The 9,180-nt window shown below is 42.2% G+C and overlaps 1 long non-coding RNA gene across 1 annotated transcript in view, besides 1 other annotated feature; it reads left to right on the top strand.

Moving 5' to 3' along the window:
- Positions 1 to 9,180, top strand: part of LOC105377448 (uncharacterized) — a 192,690-nt gene that overhangs the window by 91,265 nt on the left and 92,245 nt on the right. The window lies entirely within an intron of this gene.
- Positions 2,025 to 2,084: an enhancer, noted in NCBI's record as "active region_21914". NCBI's record gives its function as "activates an Ori minimal core promoter by ATAC-STARR-seq in GM12878 lymphoblastoid cells {active_cell/tissue: GM12878}" and the evidence as "EXISTENCE:reporter gene assay evidence [ECO:0000049][PMID:35858748]".

Raw genomic sequence — 9,180 nt, 5'->3', positions numbered from 1 at the left:
TATGTCCTCTTCCTAGAGGGTGAGGACTCTTTTTCATATTTGAGTAGCTAGAACATAGAAGAGTTCAATAAATATTTGTTGAATAAAGGCAGATGGAATTTAGGAAGCATAAAAATGGGGTGACCCTTTCCTTTTTTTTTTTTTTTTTTTGAGACAAGGACTCACTCTGTTACCCAGGCTGGAGTGTAGTGGCTCAATCTTGGCTCACTGCAGCCTCAACTTCCCCGGGTTCAACCCATCCTCCTGCCTCAGTTCCCCAAGTAGCTGGGACTATAGGTGTGAGCCACCACACCTGGCTAATTTTTGTATTTTTTTTTTTTTTATAGAGATGGGGTTTCACCATGTTTCCCAGGCTGTTCTTGAACTCCTGGGCTCAAGCAATCCACTCACCTTGGCCTTCCAAAGTGCTGGGATTACAAGCATGAACCACCACACCTGGCCTGACCCTGTTTTGAAGTATGGTGCTTAGGATGGAAAGAAGGGAATGAAAATAGAAAGCTAAGGGTCCCATACATGTATTGCATGTTTACTCTACCTCTAACTGTGCTAAGTACTTTGTGTACATGACACAGAAGAACTCATATTTAATTTCATGAAGGAAGAAGCATCAGTTTAATTTTACAAACATGGAAACCAAAGCTTAGTGAGGTTGTGCCATGTTCAGTCACATGCCTGGCAAAACCATAGCTGTCACTCAGGTCAGAAAATCAGATTCACTTCAAATTTAGTGCCAGTTGTCATCAATATGTACTGTATCTTACAGACACGCTTTCTCAATGCTTGAGTTTGGGCAAACCTTGCTGGCAGGGTTCCTCCCCACCCCCTAGCCTGTGTCTCGCCTGTGTCTTCTGGATGCTAAGCCTGTGAATATTAATATTGTGACAGAGAATATCAAAGTGTGAGTTTTCCTTGAAAGTCATATATAGTTTGGGGAAAGGAATAATTTGATGACATTTCTGATTTTATTTACTGTTAGGGTTTTTCTTTTTTATTTTGGCAACATCTGGCAATAGGTCTCTGCATTTAAACACAAATCCCTAATGAGTTATTTGGAAATGAAATGATTGTCTTATTTTAGGAGATAGAGAGAGAGAGAGGGAATGGTGAAAGCTTTCTTGTGCTTATGTCTAGTATCAGTATCAATCAAATATTTTTAAAAATTTTGGGTTTTAGAATAAAATCTCACTTTCAATTTTGGGAATCTCTGTTTCTTCCTTTGCCTTGGGCCTTATTGATTTATTTTTGGGTTACTGCACATTTTCTTGCAATTCTGGATGGTGGAAATGTTTGCCCTTTAAAAGCAGGGGGCACTCTGGGTACAGACTGATGCTTCCTTCAAATCTGGAGTGAGAGAATTTTCTTCCTGGCAAGGGCCCCCTCCCACCTGCTCTGCTGTGGACATTGAATCCCCTCAGGGTGAAGGGTGGAGAATTAGCACGAATACTTAAAGCGGGTCTTGCTTACTCCGAAAGGAGTGAGGGACGGTTCTTCCCGTGCCTCTTTCAGTTTGGAAGGACATCCTAGGATGGATGTCATCAGTTCCTTGATGTAAGGAAGAGAGACTAATAAGAGGCATAAAAACTTCTTTTCCCTTATTTCACTTGACTCTTTGCGTCTGTCACAGATCCTGCTGGACTGACAGAACATTACACAAATAACCCTCCTTCTTAAGTAGCGACGGGGCGGCGGTAGGCATTTTTTCATTTAGAGTCTATCAACTGAGAATTGATAAAGTCATCTCAGAACAACTGTAGTTTGACCCTGACCTGACAAAAGAGATCGAAAATGTCTCGTGTGGAGAGAAGCAAGGGGGCTGGGAACATCATTGCCTCAGAAAGAAGCTTCAAGTCGGCTAAGGGCTGACACCCAAGCACCCCGCGAATGTGTTTAATAACTGGAAAGCAGATAGTGAAAGAGCAGTCAATAAACAATTGTGGTTTAATAAATTATTCATTTTAACAATACGTCCAGTGTTTGCCCAGAGATGGGAGAACGGCTGTAGGTTTTTTCCCCATCTCCTCGTCTGGTCTGAACCTGCCTGGATGCTGAGTTGTTCGCCATTCTGGACGGCAGAGGGCACTCGTGTCACACCTGAAAAGGGGATTGGCTGAGCCTTCCCAGCGCCTATCCGTGCTTATGAAGGAAAGATAGCAGAGATAGGAAGACGTCGAGAAGACGGAGAGAGGAAGATAGAAAACGAGTGGATAGCCCCGGAAATGAAAAATATATATTTCTCACAGGCAGATCAAATTCAACCCTGCACTGAAGCAAGGCATAAAGAAATAAATAGAAAACAGTCGCTCTATATTTCTTGGTTAAAATAATTTATTTATTTGAAGATCGTAGGATGACAGATTTGGAACAGTCGGGACAAAGGCAAGGAGATATTCAAAAAAATTTAACAGATTTATTTTCATCTTGAAAACCGAACTCTGATTTTCAGGAAATACTCTTAGGTATCGAGCGGTTCTCTTGGGCTTCACTGCCAGGGATAAATCAAAAATGCCTTACAGCTACTGAGGGCCCCTGGGCCGCTTGGAACAAAATCCCACCACACTTTAAAGCATGCCCTTCATGGAGATGAATCCCTAACATCAGTCAAACTCTGTCTTCACTTCTGTTCTCATGGCTCTGTGCTACGGCCTGATTTTATTTATGATACTGTGTCACATGAGGCGAGGCTCCTATTGTGGGTTGAGAAGGGCCATTGTACTCCCTGGGATATTTACTGTATACCTAGGGCGCTGAGGTATAATCTATCCTCTGCAGTAATGCAGATTCTAAAACGAATGGTATTTATTTATAATAACACGCGAGGCAGCCCACAGGGAAGTGTCATCTTGTTTGTAATCAATCCCAGTGTGAGGCTGTTGTTGCCGCACAATCAGCCTTTGCATTAAGTGACAAACTGGCTTCGTCTTCTTATTCTGACTGTCATTTTTCTTCGATGGGGATACATCATCTCTGTTACAAGGCCTTGGAGCTGAGTACCACACACAGACACACACAAATGCATGCCCCATGATCGCACTCAGGAAAAAACCCACGGTCTCCCATATGGCTGTAAACAAACTCTAGTTTCTACCAGTCCTGATGGTGAGCACGAATATGTTGAAAGAAGCAGGCACAGCAGAAGAGTTCGTTGTGCTCGTGGTCATGTAAATGTTGTATCTGGTGAAGGTGGGTCATTGTTACAGACTGAATTGCATCCCTTCAAAATTCATAGGCTGAAGCCCTAGTAACCGTTTTTGTAGACAGGGTCTTTTAGGAGGTAATTAAGTCTAAATGAAGTCATAAGGGGGAGCCCTATTTCAATACTACTAGTATTCTGATAAGAAGAAGAATAGATACTAGGGAGGTGGGTGCAGAGTTTTCTGAGTGAGCACACAGCAAGATGGCGACCATCTGCAAGCCAAGAAGAGAGGCCTCAGGAGAAACCCAACCTCTGGCACGTTGATCATGGACTTCCAGCCTCCAGATCTGTGAGAAAATAAGATTTCTGTTGTGAAAGCCACCCAGTCTGTGGAATTTTGTTATGGCAGCCTGAGCAGACTAACGAAGAAATTGGTACCGGGAAATGGGGATGCTGCTGTAACAAATATGTAAAAATGTGGAAGTGGCTCTGAAACTGGGTAATAGGTAGACCAAGCTTGTCCAACCCACAGCCCATGGGCCACATGAGGCCCAGGATGGCTTTGAATGTGGCCCAACCCAAATGTGTAAACTTTCTTAAAACAATATGAGATTTTTTTGCCTTTTTAAATTTTTTATTTATTTTTATTTTTATTTTTTAGCTCATTAGCTATGGTTAGTGTTAGTTTATTTTATGTGTGGCCTAAGATAATTCTTCTTCCAATGTGGCCCAGGAAAGCCAAAAGATTGGACACCCCTGATGAGGTCTATGCTAGAAAAAGCTGACATTGCTGTGAATCTCAATTGTTAAAAGTAATTCTGGTGAGAGCTTAGAAAGAAAAGAGGAGAGCTGTTAGAGAAAGCTTCCATCTTCTTAGAGAATACGTGAATAATCATGAACAGGATGTTGGTAGAACTATGGACGGTTAAGGCCATTCTGGTGAGGTCTCAGATAGAAATGAGGAATATGTTAGTGGAAACTGGAAGAAAGGCAGTCCTGGCTATAAAGTGATAAAGAAATTGGATGGATTGTGTTTGTGTTACGGTGTTTTGTGGAAGGTAGAGCTTGTAAGCGATGAAATTAGATATTTAATTGACTTCTAAGCAAAGCATTAAAAAGTGGCTTGATTCCTCTAAAGTGCTTATAGTAAAATATGAGAAGAGAGAAATGAGTTGAAGAAAGAATTGTTAAGCAAAAAGGAACAAAAACCTAAAAATTTGGGAAATCCTTAGCCTGTCCATATCGCAAAAAATGAGGAAGTGTGCTCAGGAGAGAACACTAAGGATATGGTTGACTAGCCATTTGATATGGAGGCTAGTGTGGGGGTGAACCACAACCTATTTAGCCAGCCTAGCAAAAACACTGCCAGTTTGAAGGGATGGAGACAGGATGAAATGAAGAAAGGCTGCTGGACTTCTTAGGTCCTACAGGAGTGAACCATACAGCAATTTGGCTGCAAAACCATGCTCTTCTTCTAGATGAGGGAATAATAACACTAAAGGTGATTTGGAGATCATCAAGCCTGCCTCTTTGGTTTCAAATTATGGGTGGGGAACCCATTACCTTGGTTTCAACAGGCCGGATGGTGGCTGCCTGGAGCTGTAGGGATGGGGTCACCCAGAGCGCCCATCTTGTGGGAGCCTCTTTTTCTCCCTTGCTAGCTTTGAAGAAGCAAGAGGCCATGTTGGGGAACCCCCTGCAGCAAGGAACTGCAGATGGCCAGTGGCAGCCGAGGGCTACTTCTGGCCAATATTCAGCAAAATACTAAAGCCCCCACAGTCCTACAACCACAAAGAGCTGCATTTGCCAACAATCAGAGTTGAGAGCAGATCCTTCTTCAGTTGAGTCTCAGATGAGAGCGAAGCCTTAGCCGGCCCTCGATTGTATCCTTGTGAGACCCTAAACAGAAGACCAGCTAAGCTATGCCCAGACTCCTGACCCACAAAAACTATGGGATAATAAATGTTTTCTTTTTAAAGCTACTAAGTTTGTAGTGATATAGTTACACAGCAATAGATAACACTAAAAACCATATCCCCCTTTTTTTTCCATCTCTGTCCTATTGTCCTGTCAAAAACCAAACTACTTCCAAAGTGAGCTGAATGAACTTTCCTACTTAATATCAGCTTAGGTCTTAAAGGCAAATTTGTCTGACTATCTGGAAGAGGACATGCCTTCTGTTTAGGATAAAGTCAAAAGTTAGATAAAAAGAGAAAACAAATTGCAATGAAATTGAACTTACATAGTTAATGGTAACAAGCTTTAGGACTGGGCCTGGTTATAAATCAGACAATGATTATTTGGTAGATAAAGAATGCAGCTGCTGCAGGGCAGGCAGAAGGCAGATCCCACAAAATGCAGGGAAAGCACTGCAGGGTGTTCCTGCCTTTGCTGAGATTACATCTTTCCTGGAATATTCTCACCAGCTCACAGTATCATTCAATTCCTGTATGTCTGCAGGTCCAGTTCAAACACTGACAACCTCATGAAAACTTCCATATCAACAGATCAATTCTTTTTTATTTTTATTTTTGAAACAGGGTCTTGCTCTGTCACCCAGGCTGGAGTGCAATAGTGTGATCTTGGCTTACTAAAGCCTCCACTTCCCAGGCTCAAGCAATCCTCCAATTTTGGCCTACCAAGTAATTGGGACTACAGGAGTGCACCACCACATCTGGCTAATTTTTTTTTTTTTTTGTATTTTTTTGGTAGAGATAGAGTTTCCCTCTATTGCCCAGGCTGGTCTTGAACTTCTAAGTTCAAGCGATCCACCTGCCTCTGCCTCCCAAAGTGCTGGGATTGGCTGGGCGATGTGGCTCACTGTAATCCTGGCACTTTGGGAGGCCGAGGTGGGTGGATTGCCTGAGCTCAGGAATTTGAAACCAGCCTGGGCAACATGGTGAAACCCCATCTCTACTAAAAATACCAACACCCCTCCCCCGCCAAAAAAAAACCAACCTAAAAAAAATCCAAAGTGCTGGGATTATAGGCATGAGCCATTGTGCCTGGCCCATATCGAGTCACAGAAATTCTCTTGAGCGATAAACGAATATTACTGGCTCATGTCACCGCATTGTTTATCGGTAAACTGGGCTTCATGTGAGGTTGATCCAAAGGTACACAAAATCATCAGGATGCTAGCTAGGGGTTTCTTTAATTTAAAAAGTTTTATTTTTCTCTCACTCTCCTCATGGTAGCAAAAATGATTTTATTTCATAATATTTCTCTTTCCAAAGGAAGAGAAAATACTTTTATCCTAAAGTTCCAAGAAAAACCCTGAGAATCACACTGATGGGCCTGCTTAGCCTACAATGCTTACCTCTGAGCCCAGTGTTTTGATCAGGGGGATGGAAAGTGCTGGTTGGTGTAGAAAATCTCTGGGGCTCTATCCCTGGGATAGAATCAGCTCCCCTAGAGCCACATAGATCCCCAAACAGAAATCAATGTCCACTCAACCTTTATTGCCTCTAGCCCATCCTTGTTTTTCTACCTCTGAAATAAAAATTTAATAAGAATGTTGATGGATGAACAAATAATGAATGGTTTTGGTGAGTTAGTATTGTTCCTATTTTTAGCCAATCCCTTAGCAAAGTTAGGATGTTTGCCTCCAATTTTGATCCTTCCACATTTCATGCATGGATTGCAGGCCTTTCCTAATTAGATGATGTGCCTTTTGAAAGCAATGACTACACATAACTTCTCAAATACTCTCCCTAAAACATCAAAACAAAAAAACCCCAAAAAACAAAAAAACATGTGTTTGCAATTTAAATAGGTATTGCCAATGGCCTAAGCTGAAGCCTTGATTGTATCTTTGTGAGACCCTAAACAGAAAGGTATTAGCAATACCTATTTAAATTGCAAACACACGTATCATTATTTATTTATTTATTTATTTTGAGATGGGGTCTTGCTTTGTCACCCAGGCTGGAGTGCATTGGCAGGATCATGGCTCACTGCAGCTTCAACCTCTCGGGCTCAAGCAATCCTTCTGCCTCAGCCTCCCAAGTACCTGGGACTAAAGGTGCATGCCACCACTCCTGGCTAGTTTTTTGTTTTTGTAGAGATAGGGTCTCACCATGTTGCCCAGGCTGGTCTCAAATTCTTGGGCTCACACAGTTTGCCTTCCTTGGCCCCTGAAAGTGCTGGGATTACAGGTGTGAACCACCCCACCTGGCCACAAACACATATATCTTTTGATCTAGCAATCCACTTTTAGAATTTTACCATACAGATATATACTGGCACACATGTAAAATGGTATATGTTCAAAGTTATTCATTGTACCATTATTTTTAGTGGAAAAGATTAGAAGCAATCCAATTATCCATTAATATGGAACTGCTTAAATAAATTACAGTGGAATGCTAAACTATACTCTTGCAATACAAAAAAATGGCCTGGCGTGGTGGCGGGTGCCTGTAGTCCCAGCTACTCGGGAAGCTGAGGCAGGATAATCGCTTGAACCTGGGAGGTGGAGGTTTCCGTGAGCCGAGATTGCACCACTGCACTCCAGCCTGGGTGACAGAGTGAGACTTCGTCTCAAAAAGGAAAAAAAAAACAAAGGAAGGTCTCTATGCATTGGTATGGAAAGACTGACAAGTCTTTGGTTAAATGGCAAATGGAAAAAGAAAAGCCCAAGGTGCCGAACAGTATGTAGAGTGCATTACCTTTTGTGAAAAACAAGAAGGAAAAATATGTATGTTCACATGTGCGTGTATTTGCATAAAGGAACTCTGAAGGATACCTTACAAATCCAATAAAGAGTATAGAGAGCTGGTGGAGGACAGGATGGGAATAAGATGTTTCACTCTGAACCTCTGCAGACTGTTTGATTTTTTTGAAACCTGTAAATGTTTTACCTATTCAAAAAATTTTTAAAAAATTCTGAACCTTTCAAATGCGTTTCCCTCTTGCCTGTCTGGGAAGTGGTGGATGAAACACTGTAGGCTCCTTTATCATTTATGTAGCGCTTGTGCTGTCTCTTGCCTTAGGCTGGAGGGGACAGCTTGCTGTAATGGTAAAGAGTGTGCCTGGAATTTGGAGTCAGTCAAACCTGGATTCCAATTTCAGCTCCATCACTTGCTAGCTGTGTGACCCAGGGCGAGCTATGTCACCTCTCTGAACTCTGTCCATTTACAGGAGTGAAGAAAAAATCAGATGTTAGTAACATGCTTAGCACAGTGCATGGCAGTTACTAAGTACTCTTTAAATGATGGTTAATATCAAAGTACAAGGACCTAGATGTCAGGGGCTTTCTGCTTTGTTTTGATGTGTTTTTTTTTTTTTTTTCTCCCACCAGCTCAGTCTTGGGAGTGCTTTGTGTAAAGTCAAACAGAGGGCTGCCATGAACATGAGATGATGTGGATGGTGACATATTTATTTCCTGAGAGATTGCAGGGAGATAAGTTTTTAGAGTTCTTGCTTTTAACCCATAACTAGGAAGAGTAAGTTCTTACCTAGTCCTGGAAAACAAGGGCAGAAACTGTTGCCTGGTTTCCACCTCAAGGCTTGACCTACCTTGGTTTCCAGCACGGTCAGGTAGCAGCAGGACAGCGACCATGAAACCAAGGGCCCCTGGAGGCTGGGCTCCCTGCCAGGACTCAGGAGGAGTGGGCCAGAGGCTGAGCAGCCTGAGTCTCCGGTGCTTTCCACCACACTACAGATGCTTCTTTCCATTCTGCTGCTGGAGCCCTGAGAGGATCGTTAATTCAACAAATAATTATGAGTACTTACAATGTTCCCGGCAACTGGCTATGATTCTAGAGAAACAAAGACCAGTGAAATCTGGTTTTAAAATCATAGCTAAGACCGGTTCTTAGTACACTTGCCCTTTGTTTACTGTGCAGGTTTAAAGATGTGAGTTTCCTTAACTCCTTCCATTGTAGATTTATTCTCCTACCCTTTTCAATTTTGTCATTTAGGTCTAGCTGAGACCATAATATTTTTTGGCTTATCTAAAAGAAAGACATTTAGTCCCGTTAACCTGAAAGTCCAAAGGCACTGATATTCAGCCAGTGAAGACTTTGGTTACACAGGGTGCATTT

This window comes from Homo sapiens, chromosome 4, assembly GCF_000001405.40.
Source record: "Homo sapiens chromosome 4, GRCh38.p14 Primary Assembly".
NCBI lineage: Eukaryota > Metazoa > Chordata > Mammalia > Primates > Hominidae > Homo > Homo sapiens.
This window is presented reverse-complemented; position numbering and strand designations above follow the sequence as displayed.